The sequence below is a fragment of the Homo sapiens genome, chromosome 9 (assembly GCF_000001405.40).
Source record: "Homo sapiens chromosome 9, GRCh38.p14 Primary Assembly".
Taxonomy (NCBI): domain Eukaryota; kingdom Metazoa; phylum Chordata; class Mammalia; order Primates; family Hominidae; genus Homo; species Homo sapiens.
In genome coordinates, this window is record NC_000009.12 from 122290463 (window position 1) to 122308583 (window position 18121).

An 18121-nucleotide genomic window follows, 5' to 3' on the forward strand; every position below is an offset into this window, starting at 1 on the left:
TGTGGAAGTTCTGGTTTGTCTTTGTGACCTTATAGTAACACCTCAGGTAGCCGTAGCAGTAAGGTTATTTAAAAATGAAATGAATGAGTTTTATGGGCAGAGAACCCAGAAAAGTAAAATAGGTGTATATCAACCGCCATTCATTTAAATTAGAAAGTCTAGGAGGAGCTCAAGTGCAGGAATTGGCCTTTGAATCCAAGTGATGTGGATTGTCTCCGGTCAAGCCTAAAATTCTTTGAAAATGTCAGAGGCTTTGTTTTCATGAGTTCCACATTGTCATGCCAATGAAAGGATCTCTAGGATTGCATACAAGGTATAGTTATAATGTTGCTTGAGTGTGAGGTGAGGCACTTTGGGAAATGGGTGTGCCAGTGTGCCAGCTGGCACATTAGTGAGCAAACTGTCAGAGAAACCCCTGAAGGATGTTGGGCAGGTTAGCAGTACATCAGCTACATGAAGACATCAACTCCACCTTGTTTGAGAGTTTTATGCATTCTTACCTTTATATAATAAATGTATATAATATGTTCATATAACTGCCCTTGCCTGAGTATTACTATGTCCCAGGCACAGAGCAAGATGCATCGCTCATGTTATTTCACTACCTCTCTGAGGTTTAGGGACCACATGGTCTCAGATGATGAAATATAGGTTCAGAGAGGTCAAGCATATGCCCAGGGTCACATGGTTACCAGAGCTGGGATGTGAACTGAGATCTTTCTGACTCCAAAGCCCATGCTTTAAGCTAGTATACCACACTACCTTTGCGGGAGCATATACCAGCAGAGATTCATTGCTCATTCCAAAATATGAGTGAGTTTGGTGTGAGTGCAGATGCGAATGAGTTAAATTTATTTACTCATTCCAAATCGGCACTGGTATATTTTGAGTGTAAAATGTCAACTGGATTTTTTTACGTATGAAATCTTTCATCTGTCTTTACACCAATCTTTGCAGAGACCAGCCCCCCTCCCTTGAGGATTTATTGTGGTTTTGATCTGTGTTGCCTCAAACCATTGAAATCTTTTCAAAGAGGCAGAGCTGTTTTCTTTTTATTTTTTCTTCTTTCTTTTTTTCCTCCTGCAGTACAGTGGTACCAGGAGTGGACATAGTTTGCTATTCAGCTTGATCAAAGCACTCTACACCAATGTAACTTCCTGATCTTACTGGTAACAGAACTAAATGTTTCCATGTTCTGCCAAGATGGGTTGCCAGTTATCGACAGAGGGCTTGCATCTGGTAATAATTATTTACTAATTCTGTTTACCTTTTGATCTGGTTTTCAGTGTACAGCTGCAGCTATCAAGGCTATAAGAGAAAGTGGAATGAATCTGAACCCAGAAGTGGAAGGGACGCTAATTCGGGTACCCATTCCCCAGTAAGTTTGGCTGAAATTCACATATTTTGATGAAACGGGGTGGTTGTCCTTGGAAGGAAACCAACAAATACCCTACTATACCGTTAGGCCAATAACATACCTTACCTGTACCTTTCACCCTGGCAAACATCTTTTGAGATCACTTTACTGATTCAGAAATACTTATTGAGCGCCTGTTATGTACTAGATGTGAGGTTTGCAGCAGTAAGCTTGAGAATTTGTTGTCCTTACATAGTTTACATTCTGGTTGGGAAGGTAGGACAAATAAATAAAGTCATTCCAGATAATGAAATGCTATGAGGAAAGAAAAGACAGTGGGATCCAATAGAGAGTGACTTGGTAAGGATGATGGTGGCAGGGGCACCTGTAGCCTGAGAAGACTCTTTATGCAGGTAACATTTTTGCTAAGAGCTAAATGATGAGAAAGAACCAGCCTAGGGGAGAGCATTTTGGGCAGCGTGAACAGCAAGCAGAAAGGCCTCCAGTTTGAAAAGACCTTGACACTGGTAGTCTCTAACTTATATTCTTTGAAGAGCTATTTTTTTTACATTAGTCCTTGCTAGTCGAAGAATTTTAAGCTGAGAACAGAATATTGTTAATTATATAAATATATAGAACTTAAAGTTTTAAGTGAATAAAAATGTTCATTTTTAAATTTAAAAAAAGAAGAGAAAATATAAGACCTTGACCTTTTTGAGAAAGAAAAAAGCCAGTGTGTGTGAAATGCAGGGAGAGGGTGGTAGGAGAGGAGGTTGGACTAGTCAGTAGAGGCTGATGGTTTAGGCATTATAAGTCATGGTGAGTGGGCTTTATTCTCACTGTGATGGGAAGTCAGTGGAAGGATTTAAGCAGGGGAATGACCTGATCTGATGTTGACTATGTGAGGGTCTCTCTGACTGCTGGTTTAACAAATGGACTATAGGGGTACAAAGTGGACACAAGGGGAACAGTCAGGAGGCACCTGCAGCAGTCCAGGTGAGACACATCTTCTCCGATTCCACAGCAAAAGATTTAAATCCCTATTCCTACACAGTGCCTCATATATAGCAAGGCCCAAATAAGTGTTGAATTAACTCGTTCAGTCTTTCAACAAATATTTATTAAGTACTAATGACATGCCAGATACTTTCTTAGTTGTTGGAATATAGCAGTAAACAAAACAAACAACAAAAAGTCCCTCTCTTCCTCGGGCTTCCCTGATAGTTGCATAGGCACAGTAAATAAGTACGTAATGGAATGTCAAGTGATAGTAAGGACAATGAAGAAAAACAAGCAAAGTAAGGGGATAGGGAGATTTGGGGCTTTTATTATGGATAGGGAGGGTCATGAAGAAAGGGACATTTGAACAAAGACCTAATGAACAAAGCTTCCAGATAACTAAAAGGGAAATGGAGTTGAACACTAGTTGAGTGTCTTTTAGTGCCACACATTATCCTGTATTCCTTTACATATATTACCTCATTTGTCTAATCCCTGTAAAGTAGGTTTTTTCCTAGTTGTGGAAATTTAGGCTCATGTCTTTGAAGCCACACAGCTTGTGCTGAAGCTGGGACCCAAACCCAGGTTTAGTTGATAACAAAGCCTCATGATGTACCCATACCCATGCAGACAACAAGAATCAATCCCAACACGGGAGTCCAGAAACTTTCCACACTGAACTTTTTCCTGCCTCGTGGCCAGAAAATAGCTGTCTTGTTCCATTGTGTTCTCAGTACTCTGTGAGGCTGAAGTAACACTCTGCTTTGAAATCATGTGAATTGGGAACAATATAACCTAACGTTTAAGAAGCAGATAGACCTAGGTTCAAGTCTTTCTGCTTGAACCAGATAGTTCAAGTTTGTTTGGCAAGTTCATTGATTTGCTTAGTGAATGTTCTGAGAATGCGTATGTGCCAGGCTCTGTGCTGGGGATGTATAGACGTGATGTATGCCTTCATGGAGCTCACAGGCTGTGTGCCAGGCCTCTTGTTTGTATTGCCTCCAACTTACTTGTGGAAATTACTAGGGCCCACATTTATAGATGAAAAATGTGAAGTTCAGAGAAATTAAGGGACTTGCCCGAGATCACATGACCAGTAAATGGCAGTCAGGATTTGAAGCCTGAGTTTTTCTGTTACCTTTCTCCTGCATTTTCTGTGTAGATGCATAATTCTGGAAAGTGCTAAATGTACACATGGACGTTAGAAGCAAGATTTACAAGAGTAATAGATAGTAGTCAGCAGGCTTATTTTCTAGTTTTTGCTGTCCTGTTTGTGAAACCTTGGACAGTCACTTAACCTCCCTGAGCCTTGGCTTCCTCACATGTCAGATGAAGGGGTTGTTCTTAGTGGCCTGCCAGGTCGTTTCTGAAGCTCCAAAATACTGTGGGGCTATGAATTTGTGCTACTAAATGCTCATTGCTGATTTGGATTCTTCTTAGGGTGACTCAGTTGTGTATCACATTTTTCTTTCAAAGATCTGGTTGACATAACATGCATTTCTGCAGCCCCGCAAGAGTAAATGATCACTGTCGGTGCATTGTATGTAAGTTTGAAAGATCAGTGAGTTTAACTCGAATTTCCAAAGATAAGAGGATCTGTTACATTATTTTTTACATTATTTTATTTTGGTTAATGGGTGTAATCCAAGAGAAAGTTGATGGACCAAAACCGTCTGCTCCTGCAAACCTCATTTTTTTATATACTTTCTTCCCTTTGACAAGGTGGTGGGGTCATGAGGCCCCTTACTGAATTATAACGTTTGGTAGTTTTCCAGATAAAAAATGAATGATCTGTTCTTTATTATAGAGGCTGTGTTACGTGAGAGGATAAAGGTTGATTTATAAGTAAGAGGATCGAGGTTTTTATTTGGTTTTAGCAGTGACTTCCATATGACTCTGGGCACAGCGCCCTAGTTGCTTGCTGCCTTCTAGTTCCTTATTTGTAAAATAGGTTAGTGCATAATGATAAGCAGAGATGTGGTGAGATTAATAGAGAAAATAAATTAAGTGGTATGATTTCCTTAAACTATATAAACATAAGATATTACTTCAGTAAACTTTTAATTTTCTACATATTATATAATTTTAGGAGAAAAGGATGGAGGGAAGAAGGGAACTAATAGGTCGAGCACCTACTATGTGCCAGGAATGGTTAGGTGCCTTACATATTCAGGAAAGCAGAAAAGTATAATGGTTAAATTTTGCGTTGGTGTCACGTAAGCATGAAATTGAGTTCCAACATTTCCTGCTTTTTAGCTGTGTGACAGTGGCACCTGTCTCTGCCTCTGTGAATCTCAGGCAGCTCATCTGTGAAATGATAATTTACAGGACTTGCCATATATGCTTATTGGGAGATTTCAGTGAGATAATGTACATGAAGCTTTTGATGCTTAGTAAGCACCCAATTAATGCTAGCAAATATGCTATTTCCATCATCCCCTTTCACAAATAGGAGCATCATTCCTTTTTAGGGATGAAGAAAATGAGATTCAGAGAGGTGAGGCATTGGTTCTGGGTCACACAGCTGGTAATTGACAAAGCGGTGAGGAGGAAAATAACACATCATATCTTAAGTTGGGACTTTGAGGGGTAGGGGAAATAGGAAGCATACATTCTTAAGATCAGTTTCCTTTTTTTTTTTTTTTGAGATGGAGTCTTACTGTGTAGCCCAGGCTGGAGTGCAGTGGTGCGATCCCAGCTCACTGCAGCCTGCGCCTCCCAGGTTCAAGCAATTCTCCTGCCTCAGCCTCCCAGGTAGCTGGGATTACAGGCGCCCGCCACCACGTCTGGCTAATTTTTGTATTTTTAGTAGAGACGGGATTTCACCATGTTAGCCAGGCTGGTCTCGAACTCTTGACCTCAAGTGATCTGCCCACTTCGGCCACCCAAAGTGCTGGGATTACAGTTGTAAGCCACTGCGCCTGGCCCCTTAGATCAGTTTCTGATTATAAAAGTTTGAGTTTAGTTCTAGGAAAATTTGCCTCCTCTGATTGATCCTGATTCTTCCACTGCCTAATGATAGTCTATAGGTTTGCTTTTTTGCCTTAACTCTGGATACCCAGAACTAAATTTTATTTTCAATTGAAGCAGATCTCACCTATTACCTCACCCTCATTACATTCCTCTGATTCTTATATTCTTATTTAAATGAGTCTACTGAGTATGTGACTCTTAACTATAATCTGCCTCTGATCTTTTGGGGAAGTAGGTAAAAGATAAATCCTAAATCAGTAACAGGCCAGGCTTGGAGCCTGAGTGGTCCTTATCATCAAGACCTCTTTTTACAGCCTCTGAGACTCAGCTCTGCGTGGCTGTTTGCGAGTTTTTTTTTTATCGTGGCTGTCTCCTCAGGTAAATAACCATTGAGTCTTAGGGGCTCTGGATTATATCTTTTCCCACTGACAATGTGGATAGCTTTTGTTTGCTTCTCTGGCAGTGATTTTTATTTAGATAAGTTAGTCAACTGGATTGGTTTTTTTGGGACATTCCTGTTAATGGAGATATACTGAAATAGTTTCTTCTATTTTTCCAATTCATGTAATTACATTTTAGGTACCATTTATCAACCACCTAAACTAGAGGTATAATGCCTGGAAGTGTTGAGCTGAACACTTTACAATTTCTCCCCAAATTCTTACAACACTATGTGGTGAAGAGACTATTTTAGGCTCATTTGACTGATGAGAGTCCTGAAGCTCATAGAAGTTGATGCCCAATATCAGATAGCTAGTAAGTGGCAGAAGCAGGGTTAGAATTGGGGTCTTTGTCACTGCCTTTCTTCCTGTTCCTGTCTCCTGATAGAAGATTTATCTGGAATATCAGTCTTTTCACTCCTTAATCAGGGGCCCTGAAAAGTTTTGATCAGGGGTTCATTTTGTTCAGGCCAGGTTTCTGCCTCCACCTTATTCACATCATCATTATGCCCCCAAGCAAATAAACAAATAAGAATACACTCCCTTACTCATTGTTTTACCAAATGTCTATGGGAAAACCACACTAAGTAGAATAGTGGTGCTTTGGTTTGAGATTGCTGAGTTCATGCCTGGCTTTAAATAATGCTATAAGGAAACTATGAATTCACCCAGGAAACAAAACTACAGATGATTGACTCATTCCTCACCAAGTTTGCATCTTTCCTTGATTGTCTTCCGATTCCTTCATCAGCGTCTCTGTTGGTTTTATTTTAAATAAAATTACATAAAATATTTAAATGAGGCTAAGCACAGTGGCTTACACCTGTAATCCCAGCACTTTGGGAGGCCGAGGCAGGCAGATCACAAGGTCAGAAGTTCAAGACCAGCCTGACCAACATGATGAAACCCCATCTCTACTAAAAATACAAAAATTAGCTGGGCATGGTGGCGTGCGCCTGTAATCCCAGCTACTCAGGAAGCTGAGGTGAATCGCTTGAACCCGGGAGGTGGAGGTTGCAGTGAGCCGAGATCGTGCCATTGCACCCCAACCTGGGCGACCAAGTGAGACTCCATCTCAAAAAAAAAGAGAAAATGCCTCCATCCTTTTCTCCTTAGGGAACCACTTTTAGTACCTTGATTTTCTAGATTTTTTCCAATGCAAAGTCAAGCATATGTCTGGTATCTCCTTCATTTTTCTTGTAATGATATGGGATTATACTATACATAGTGTTCTGTACCTAAAAAAAAAAACTTAACAGTGTGCCATTGCTCTCTGTTATGAGAATTCTTCCTCACTCTTTTTCTAAAGGTGTACTATTGGCATTTTACACTTACATTAACCAGTTCCCAAGTGTCAAGTATCTTAGTTTAAATTTTTTCTCTTTTGCTAACCATGTCTCAATGATTTTCTAAGGCCTACTTCCTGTTCTGCTGGGAGTGGGAAGTGGTGGCATGGGGACCGTAATTGGGAAAGAAGTGAATGCAGAATGTGGGGGATGCTGTGGCTCTTGCCCTTGATTGAGTGCTTGTTTGCAACATCACTGCATAGTACTGCGCTTCTTAGAGACATGGACATTTCAGGGCCAGAAAACCATCTGCAACACACCCAAGTGACCCCTCTGTTGGTACTTAGACCCAAACTTGATGTGGTTCTTTTAGGAAACCCGATTGGTATTTTAATGCCTCCCCTGGCTCACTGTACGGCAATAATAATATTAAGGAAAGTGACTGTTTACTGAGTGCATACTGTATTCTAGGCTCTATACTCTATGATTGAACTCACTCTGTTCCCTATTTTTTATACATGAGCAAAGTCAGCCCGAGTTGTTAGGTAACTTGCTTGGGTTCATTTAGCTAGTAAAGGTAGAGTTGAGCAGGATTCAAACTTGGGTCTGTTTTACTTGTAAGTCTGTATTCTTGCATCCATGGACTTCTGAGAGTACTTTCTGTTTTTGTTTTGTGTTTGCTTCTTCGTTTTTGTAGCAAAGGACAGCAATTGGCATTTTTAAGTTTAATTATATAATAACCCAAACTATGTGGAACATAATTTACAAAGCTCAAGTCAGGATGCCTAATCTCACAGTGAACTTGTCTGCCACTTTTTGGTTCAAGAGGCAGTCTGGAATACAGGGTATTTATTTATTTTTACTCAACTTTATCAAGGTATAACTTATATGCAATAAAATGAATCAATTTCAAGTATATGTGATGATGGCTTTTGACAGATATATGTGTCCCTGTGACTACTACCCCAATCAACACAGAGTAGTTCAGTCACCCCAAAAAGTTATCCTCTGCCCCTTTGCATGTCGGTCTTCAATCCTCTTCCTCTGGTCCCGGACAACCACTTGTCTGCTTTTATGAGGATATAGAGTTTTTATGCTGAAATGTAAAACTTCTAGGACATTCGTAAATTTACTCAACAGACATTTATTGAATACCTATTATATGCCAAGCATAGTGTTAGACACTGATGATAAAGTAGTGAATAAGCCAGACAAAACCTTTGCCCTTAATGGAACATTTACTGGGGAGATGGTTAACAACACACACATATAGTTTGTATGTGTCGGATGGTCATATTTTTCTCTCTGTAGAGAAAAATAAGGCAGTAAAAGGAAATAAAGCATGCTGTGAAGGTGGGGATAGTGGTGGTTCAATATTAAGTAGATGTTCATGAAGTATTCAGAGGAAGGTGATACTTGCAGAGAATTGAGGGATGTACAAGAACAAACCATGCCTATATCCAGCACTGAGGCAGAGGAAGCAAGAAGTGCAAAGGCCCTGAGGTGGGAGTCTACCTGGGATGTTCAAGGAACAGCAAGAGGGCCATGTGCCTGTAGCAGAGTGAGTGAGGAAAGAGAAATAGAAGATGAGGGCCAGGTGCAGTGGCTCATACCTGTAATCCCAGCATTTTGAGAGGCTGACGTGGGTGGATCACTTGAGGTCAAGAGTTTGAGACCAGCCTGGTCAACATGGTGAAACCCTGTCTCCACTACAAAAATTACCCAGGCATGGTGGCATGTGCCTGTAATCCCAGCTACTCAGAAGGCTGGGATTTTTAGTAGAGATGGGATTTCACCATGTTGGCCAGGCTGGTCTCGAACTCCTGACCTCAAGTGATCCACCCATTTCAGCCTCCCAAAGTGCTGGGATTACAGGCATGAGCCATTGCACCTGGCGGAAGAGAAGATTTTGTCCATGTTTATTTTCAGGTGCTCCTGGACATCTAATTGGAGAGGTCAAGTAGGCTGTTGGATATATGGACCTGAAGTTCAGAGGACAGATGTGGGCTAGAGAGATAAATTTGGGAATCAGGAACTTATAAAGGAGGCCACGAAATTAGATGAGATTACTTTAGAGATTAAATATAGATAATGAAAAGAAGAGGTTTGGGGACTAAGCCTTGGACACTTCAAGGTTTGGGGATCAGAGAGATGAGGAAGAACCAGCAAAGAAGACTGAGAACAGGTGGCCAGTGAGGTAGGAGGAGAACTAGGAAAGTATAGGGTCCTGGAAACCAAGTGAAGAAAGTATCTCAAAGAGGGGAGGGAGTGATGGGGTCAAAGAAGGTAAGATCTGAGATTATTGGACTTAGCAACATAATTTTATTGATCAATTAATCTGTCTCTGTGGTTAGACAGAGATTGATGGGCTTTGGGGTTAGACAGACCTGGCTTCAAATTCCTGTTCTGTCACTGTGGGTATGTCAGCTTGGGTCTTCTGAGAAGCAGATGCCAGGATGGAATTAGATGTGCAGCAGATGTCTGGGAAAGACAAAGGGGAGAGGGAGCAGGAGTAGACCTAGTGCAGGTGTGATACTGGTGGAGAAAGGGAAGGAAGAGGGTTGTGGGGAGGGAGACTCACACTGCAGTGCAGCCAGGCTGATGGGGCGTTCCTGAGCAAAGATTGCCCCTACAGCAGCCCCATTTGGGCATAAGAACCTGGCTTTAGTACCTCTGCCATGTGTGGTCATTGACTGGGAGAAGCACAGTGGATGTGGCCTCAATGTGATCTCAGCAGGAATGTCACAGTGGATCAAGGTGTGGGGGCTGGAAGCTGTCAGGCATCTGTACCCCTCACAGCAGGTTCTCCTGGAGGGTGATCTGAGCAGCATACCTTCATGCCCACTGCAGTGAACTTGGGCAAGTTGCTTAATTTTTTGAAGCTTCAGCCTCCTTATCTGTAAAACTGGAGTAGTATTTATGGTTTTGAAGAGTAATAGGATATTATATGTGAAGCTCATAGTGTGAAGCCTGGCATATCATAGGTACTTAAATTTTAATTCCTTTATCTTAGAGTATTTGTTATTATCTAATCCTCCTGGTTAAGGAGTTCTTGGAAATGTCCTTTTCCTGATTATTTGGGAGTAAAACTAATAAGTAATATTTTATTTCTGTTTGCTGATTTCTCTTTTAATCCTTAATGCCCTCCTTCCTTCTCTTCCTCACTAACCCCCTTCCTGAAGCCCCATGTTCTTTTTTTCCCCTATCTTTTCCTGCATTTTTACAGATGGGAGGAGTTGAGTGATTATATTGGAAGTATCTTGGAATTTAACTTGCTTGGGCATACTGTAGTTTGATTGTTAATAAGCACTTGGTTTGTTCTTTGAATATGAGTTATGTGTGAGCAAGACCTCCTGGAAGGCATATCCCAAATAAGAAAATCTAGTGACTAGTCCTGCCTATGGCATGAGAATTTCTTTACGTTCCTGAAAAAGGCAAGAAGCCTTGGCTGTCCTTGGCACTCTCAGCCCACTGAACCGCTTCCTAAAGCTTCAAGATCGTTAGATAATTGCTATCGTCATTTTCCTCTGGGCATTTTTGGGGATGATAGACTTTATGGCTAGACTAGGCTCTTTCCCCCAGACTTTGTTCCAAGTTGATGATAGGAAGGAGAATGCCACTGAGACCAGGGAGTGTCCTGGATAACAGTAAAAAAGCCTTGAGTTATAGTTCCTCAGCCTAAATTCTTTCTCACGTGTTTATTCCCTCCACCCCGCCGTCCCTCATATGCTGATGTGCAGTTTCTCACGAATGATAACCAGGTTTTTCCAGGGAGAGCAAGCTGGGTAAGGCAGAGCAGGGTGGTCCCCAGGCTGAGGTAAATGTGGAGGGGAAGCTGTGTAGCTAGGGAGAGCTGCAGTTGACAGCTGCAGGAGCCAAGGTGGCAGTCAGAAAAACTCTAAAAAGAAAACCAGTAGAAAGAGCTTTGTGCTTTTAGGCTACTTATTTCAACTCTCTGACCCTTGGTTTCCTCACCTAAAAATGGGATCATAGAATATTTACTTTTGTGAAGATTTGTTGGGAGAAGCTCCTGTGAAGGATAGAGGGGAGAAGAGAACAGGAGTAGACAGGGATAACCTTCGGACAGCAGTATAGGTCTGACACCAGTGAAGAAAGGAAAGAAATTCAGTAAATGAGAGTTAATACTATTTTTTAAGTTGTCATGATCAGGTTAGCCATTGTTACTGAGTATTCTATGACTTTTCTGCATGGTGATTTTTTTTTTTTTCTTTTTGAGATACAGTCTCTCTCTGTTGCCCAGGCTGGAGTGCAGTGGCATGATCTCGGCTCACTGCAACCTCCACCTCCCAGGTTCAAGTGATCCTCCTGCCTCAGCCTCCTGAGTAGCTGGGACTACAGACATGCACCACCACACCCGGCTAATTTTTTTTTTTTTTTGTATTTTTAGTAGAGACGGGGTTTCACCATGTTGCCTAGGCTGCTCTTGAACTCCTGGCCTCACGTGATCCACCTGCCTTGGCCTCCCAAAATGCTGGGATTACAGGCATAAGACCATGCCTGGCCTGCATGGTGATTATTAACTGTTATGGGGGAGTATTGTCTGTCTCTACTGCCGTGAGGCGTGCTGCCTGTCATCAAGCTTTCTACCTAGGATACAAGTATTGTTCAATGTTGAGAACTAGATAGGCATATGGCATTTTTGTCACCTTCATTGAAATATAATTCACCCATTGAAAGTGTACAACTCAATGGTTTTTAGTACTGTATAGTCATAGAGGTGTGCAACCAGTTATAACCACAATCCATTTTAGGACATTTTCTTCATCACCCCAAAAAGACACTCTACCCACCAGCAGTCACTCCTGACTTTGACCGCAGAACCTTCTCCTAGGGATTGCTGTAGGCTATTACTAATCCACTTTTCTATCTCTGTGGGTTTCCTAGTTCTGAATATTTTATGTAAGTGGAGTCACACGATATGTGGTCTTTTGTGACTGGCTTCTTTCTATTTGCATAATGTTTTCAAGGTTCTTTCACGTTGTAGCACGTGTCAGTACTTCATTCTTTCTTATTGCCAAATAATATTCTATTATATGGCTATACCACATTTTATATATCACTTCCTCAGTTGATGGCCATTTGGGTTTTTTCTACTTTGGGGCTGTTAAATGAATACCACTGCTATGAACATTATTGTGCAAGTTTTTTGTGTGAACATGCTTTTAATTCTCTTGGATATAAACCTAGGAGTGGTTTATGACCAGTTAATTGCTGGGTCATATGGTAACTCCATGTTTAACTTTTTGAGGAACTTCCAAACTTCCACAAGGACTGCACATTTTAAATTCCCACTAGCAATATATGAGGATTTCAGTTTCTCCATTCCTTTGCCAACACTTGTTATGATTATCATCCTAGAGGCTGTGGAGTGGTATCTTATTACGGTTTTGATTTGCATTTTCCTGATGACTGATGGTGCTAAGCTCTTTTCATGTGCTTGTTGGCCATTTGTATATCTTCTGTAGAAAAATGTCTATTCAAGTCCTTTGCCCATTTTATAATTGGATTGTTTGTTCTTGTGTTACATGATTTCTTTATATATTCTGGATATTAGACTCTTATCAGATACATGGCTTTCATCTTTTTTAATTGCAAAAATAACATAAGTTTATCCCAAAAATTCAGATCCTACAGAAGTATAACGAAAAGTTCATTTATTGTTCCCCAGTTGTTCTTCCCAGAAGTAACCATTGTCAGTATATCCTTCCAGATTTCAAAAGATGAATATGCAAACCTAAATAAATATATTATATATATATATATATTTAGTTTACATAAGTGGGATGAAATGTCTACAATACCACAACTTGTTTTTTTCCCCCTTTGACTTAATATCTTGTGTACTTTTTAATTTTATCTTTTTGAGACAGGCTTTTACTTTGTCACTCAGGCTCGAGTACAGTGGCACAATCACAATTAGTGGCCCTAACCTCCTGGGCTCAAGCGATCCTCCCACTCAGCCTCCTGAGTAGCTGGGACTACAGGCATGAGCCACCAAGCCTGGCTAATTTTTAAATTTTTTGTAGAGATGAGGTCCCACAGTGTTTCCCAGGTTTTTCTTGAGCTCCTGGGCTCAAGCAATCCTCACCTCAGCTTCCGAAAGTTGTGTACGTATTTTCATGGTGATCGCATTGTTCTTTTGGCTGCCTAGAAATGCCCTTTTGAGATGGATTTAATACAGAGGAGGAAACTAGGGATCCGAAAGTTTAAGTAACTTGCTCATGGTCATAGATTAGTAAGTGAAGGAGCCGTTATTCAAACTTGAATCTGTCTGTTTCCAAAGCCCGGGCTCTTGCCATGTAATCACATTTGCTCCTTGGGCTGCCGACGTGAAACCTACTTCCTTTCAGTGGCCTGCCTGTGCTAGCTGCTATATTGCCTTGTGGATCTTGTTACAGAGTAGTGTCTATAGTTTGTACATTCCAGGAAGTACTGGTAATACCCTTTTCTACATCACACACACACACACAGAGTAGTGTCTGTAGTTTGTACATTCCAGGAAATACTGGTAATACCCTTTTCTAACACACACACACACACACACACACACACACACACACACCCTTTAGGGATATTGAAAGAAAAAAACTCTCAAAGATGAATGCCTCATGACCTGACTTGGGCTGGGGCAGCCACAAACTGCATTTGAGCAACTGCAGCTGCTTCTTTAGCCTTTTTATTCCCACTGCCTGCTTGCCATTGCTGCATTTGCAGAGTCATTCATTCTCCTGGTTTGTTCCAGTACACTGTTTCTTTCTACTTTCCAGGCCTGGGTAAGCCTTCATGCAGTTTTTGAACACCTGTCTTCTGCTCAGTGTTGCTTCCCACCTGGCCTGTGGCTTTTTAGGAGTGCATCTTGCTATTGCAGGTCCCAAGTGTGTGGAATGGGGCTCCTTCCCAGCGTAGATGTACCAATTGAAACACACAAGGATGTTCAGTCAAGAATCGAAAGCGTAGGATAGGCTGAAGAGCAAGTTGCCACCAACACTTATGCAAAAATTGCACCCAAAAGGACAGGCTACTCTTGTCTCTGCCCCTCCTCTCTTCTCCATGCCTTGTATCATGCACCTATTTATGGTACCTACCGGTTGACTACCACAGATCAGATCACTATTCCATTGCATTCCTCCATAAATTCCCTCTCTTCTTTCTCCTTACTGCTCTTGGACGTGTTGGGGAGTAGCATGAATTATATATCTAAGCCGGTCTTAATGTGAGAGTAGTACTGTTATTACCACCACTGGTAAGAATAGTTGCTAGATTTGTCTAGCACCAACAAGAGAGGAAATAGAGCAGAAGGCCTGGAATTTAGGAGTCAGGCTATACTGGACTCAAATCCTGTGTCTGCCAAGAACTTGTTGTGTGACCTTGGGCAGGTTACTTGATCTGTCTGAACCCCCACTTCCCACTTTTTTTTTTTTCCAGACAGGGTCTTGCTTTGTTACCCGGGCTGGGGTGCAGTGGCATGATCATAGCTCACTGCCACTTCGAATTCCTGGGCTCAAGGATCTTCCGGCCTCAGCCTTTCAAGTAGCTGGGAATACAGGCATGCCCCACTATGCCCAGCTAATTTTTTAAAAAAACCTTTGTAGCTGGGCACTCTCTCTCACACTTGTAATCCCAGCATCTTGGGATGCTGAGGCAGGTGGATCACCAGAGGTCAGGAGTTCGAGACCAGCCTGGCCAACATAGCGAAACCCCATCTCTACTAAAAATACAAAAATTAGCCTGGTGTGGTGGCACGTGCCTATAGTCCCAGCTACTCAGGAGGCTGAGGCAGGAGAATCACTTGAACCTGGGAGGCAGAGGTTTGCAGTGAGCCGAGATTATGCCACTACACTCCAGCCTGGGAGACAGACTGAGACTCATCTCAAAAAAAAAAAAAAAAAAAATTGTAACGATGGGGTCTCACCATGTTGTCCAGGCTGTCCACTTTCTAATCTGTAAAATCCAGGTACTAATACCACTAATGTCATAGGAATGTTATGAAGATTTACTGAGCTAATGCATGGAGAATGCATCAGCTCAGAGCTTGATACAGGGAAATGGCTCTGTAGCAGTTATCATTATTATTAGTACTGAAGGGGAGCAGATGACACTGGGGTCAGGTGGCTGGGCAAATATAAGTGGGCCTTGCTGTGATAATAATTTGGTCTCTCCTTATCTTCTTCTCTTGCTTTATTTTCTTCATACACTTTGTGTCACTTTATCTACTTAATTGTTTACTGTGTCTGTCTCTCTTTCACTAGAATGTGAGTGCTTTGAGAGGAGAGAGGAAGAGCTTTGTCAGTTTTGTTCATTGCTGTATTCCTAGGCCCTCAAACAGAGCCTAGCATGTAGTAAGTATGCAATAATGTAATCATTGTTTCTGGAACATTGTGCCAACTGTTGTTCCAGGTGCCATTTATGTATTAGCTAATATACTCGTAACAACTTTTGAGATCAGTATGTTATCTCTATCTTACAGATGAGGTAACTAAGTCACAGAGGAATGGGTTTTTTTGTGCCCAGTGTTACACAGTTAATAAGTAAAAGAACAGGCTGTCTTTCTCCAGAGCCTGGGCTTGTAGCCACTATGCTGTGTTCTCCCCCAGTAGGAAACATCACAATTACTTTTATTAATAATATTATTGATAACTTAAAATAGTTTATTACCTATATATGCAAAGTTCTTCAGCTGTCTTCTCTCATTTGCTCATAACACTGTGGAAAAATCCTGTATGGCCTCCCTCATCCCCCTGCACTTGACAGTTGAGGAAATAACAGATAATGTGTATTGAGTACATCCCATGTACCAGCACATTTATTAGCTTGTTTAATCCTCACAATAATTAAGTTGTTGTAAGAGGGACCGAATGGGAACAGAGGAGAACAGTGAAGTAAATGGTATTATACACATTTGACAGATGGAAAAACTGAGGCAGAGGTGAAATAACTTGCCCAGGGCCACAAAGCTAAAAACTGATAGATCTGGACCTCAAGCCCCAACAGTCTGACTTCAGAGCCCGTTCTCTTAAGTGCTTCACCTGACAACCTTGCGTTCAGAGAGGAAAAATTAAAGTCCACAGGTACTCAACTTGTAAGTGTCAGAGCTGGAATTGGAAATCAGGTTTGCTTTGACCACCAAACTTGTGCTTTTTCGCATGTATGATGGAGCTGAGGCAAGAGTTATGTCTACTCACCCCAAAACTTGGGTTTCCATCCTTCTGTGGCGACAGGGAAAGAGAAGACAAGTGACTTAAGACCACTCAGCTGGGAATGTGGAGCTGTGACCCCGACCTTAACCTCCTTTCTCATTTGGTCAGGCTGGGCTGTATTTCAGAATGGTATGTCTGGTTTAACCAGGCATCAGTCACAGAATGGTCCTTTGAAAGCAGGTGCCCAGTTGTGTCCCCAGAGAGAACCAAAATTACTACTGGTATTAGAAGTCCTTCCAAAATGTATGATTTCCTTGGGCTAAAGGGACACCTACAGAAGATCTAATGTCTTTATGAGACATTAATGTACGTAAAACAGGCTAGTGGGATGAGGCGAGGGTGGTGTCCCTAGAAGCATAGGAAATCTGGCTGGGCTACACAAACAAAAACATTTCCGTCAGGACCGGCAGCCCCAAGGCATGGGGCAGCTCCCACTGGCAAACAGTGAAGCAGGAACGTGGTGCTGCTGATTTCAGGCCCATGCTCCTGTAGGGGGGAGTCCCGGAAGCCCAGGGAGGAGGTGGCAAGGTTTCTGTCAGTGGCAATGTCAGGAATGTATCTTGATAGGCCATTCCTTGAAAGTGCAGCTTCCTTCTCCCTTAGCCTGCTCCCCACAGCTGCTGGAGCAGAATTCCTGTCCCCTGCTTTCCCCATTGCCTTCTGCTCTCCTCTGTTCCCATTCTGTTTCTCTCTGCTCACTATCTGCTCAGTTGCCTAAGCACCAAGTGGCTAAATCCTTTGTGACCATTTTCTCTCTCACCACTCGCATCCTATTCTCCCCAGGAGAGAAGTCCTGGAGATTCTGTAGTAAGAATAATTTACTCAGCTATCCTTTGTTGAGCTCTTACAATGCATACATATTGACAGCACGCCAAGTACTTATCCCCCATTATTTCATTTAATCCTCCCTTCCACCCTCTTTGTAATATTCTTACTCCCATTTTATGTAGGAGAAAACTGAGTTTGGAGAGGCTGAATAGCATACTCAAAATTCTGAAGCTAACAAGTGGCAGAGCTGGGATTTCAGCTTAGGTCTTTTTGGCCCTAAACCGTGTCCTTTCTACATTTTAAAGCCCCCTTCAAGTGTCCAAAGAGCCTTCTGAAGTTGAGTGTCTGTTGCATTAACAACTTTTTTGCTGTCATTACCTGAGCTGAGCCTGGCTTCCTCTGATATGCACCTGGTGTATAGCTTTGTACATGTGTTGCATTCTCATTGAAACAATAGGAAGTATCATTTCAGTCAGTGGGATTCTCTGTTGTGTGAGTTAGCAGTGGGGCATGCCCTCTGCTTATTGTTCATAGGAACATGCTCAAGGAATTTTTCAGGAAGGCCCCCATCCAGGATGTTACTGGAAGATCTGCCTGGTGGAGCTTGTACAAACAAAGTATGACCCTGCCAGCTCAGCCAAAACCCCTGCCTTGTGCTAGAGGCTCTCTGACCCTAGCGGAAAAGGCTTCCTCACCCAGCCAAGAAACTGCAACAGGGTGGGTCCTGAGCTCCCTGTCTACCTGCCTAAAGGCTCCTGGTCAGACTCTTGCCATGTATTTAGATCTGGTTTGTATATTGCTGTCTACACAAACTACAAATCTGATCAAGTTTCTTCTTATTTTAATGTAAAATATGCATTTTTAAAATGTACTGTTTTAGTCTTTTTTTTTTTTTTTTTTTAAGATGGGGTCAGGCCGGATGCGGTGGCTGACGCCTGTAATCCCAGCACTCTGGGAGGCCGAGGCAGGCAGATCACTTAAGATCAGGAGTTCGTGACCAGCCTGGCCAACATGGCGAAACCCCGTCTCTACTAAAAATACAAAAATTATCCAGGCATGGTGGCTTGTGACTGTAATCCC

At 42.0% G+C, this 18121-nt stretch overlaps 1 protein-coding gene across 15 annotated transcripts in view; it reads left to right on the forward strand.

Moving 5' to 3' along the window:
- Positions 1–18121, forward strand: part of MRRF (mitochondrial ribosome recycling factor) — a 66456-nt gene that overhangs the window by 25581 nt on the left and 22754 nt on the right. For 10 of the 15 annotated variants that reach the window (NR_144421.2, XM_011519183.3, NM_001346339.2 and 7 more), the window contains one exon: positions 1287–1378. The exons of 2 other annotated variants lie outside the window; for them this stretch is intronic. Coding sequence is in view for 9 of the 13 variants with exons in the window: in XM_011519183.3 (XP_011517485.1) it covers positions 1287–1378 (92 nt within the window). In the remaining 4 variants the exon portion in view is untranslated. Of the gene's footprint in view, positions 1–1286; positions 1379–15325; positions 15416–18121 lie in introns of all 15 variants that reach the window. 3 more of the 15 variants (XR_007061373.1, XR_007061372.1, XR_007061374.1) reach the window with 1 other exon arrangement.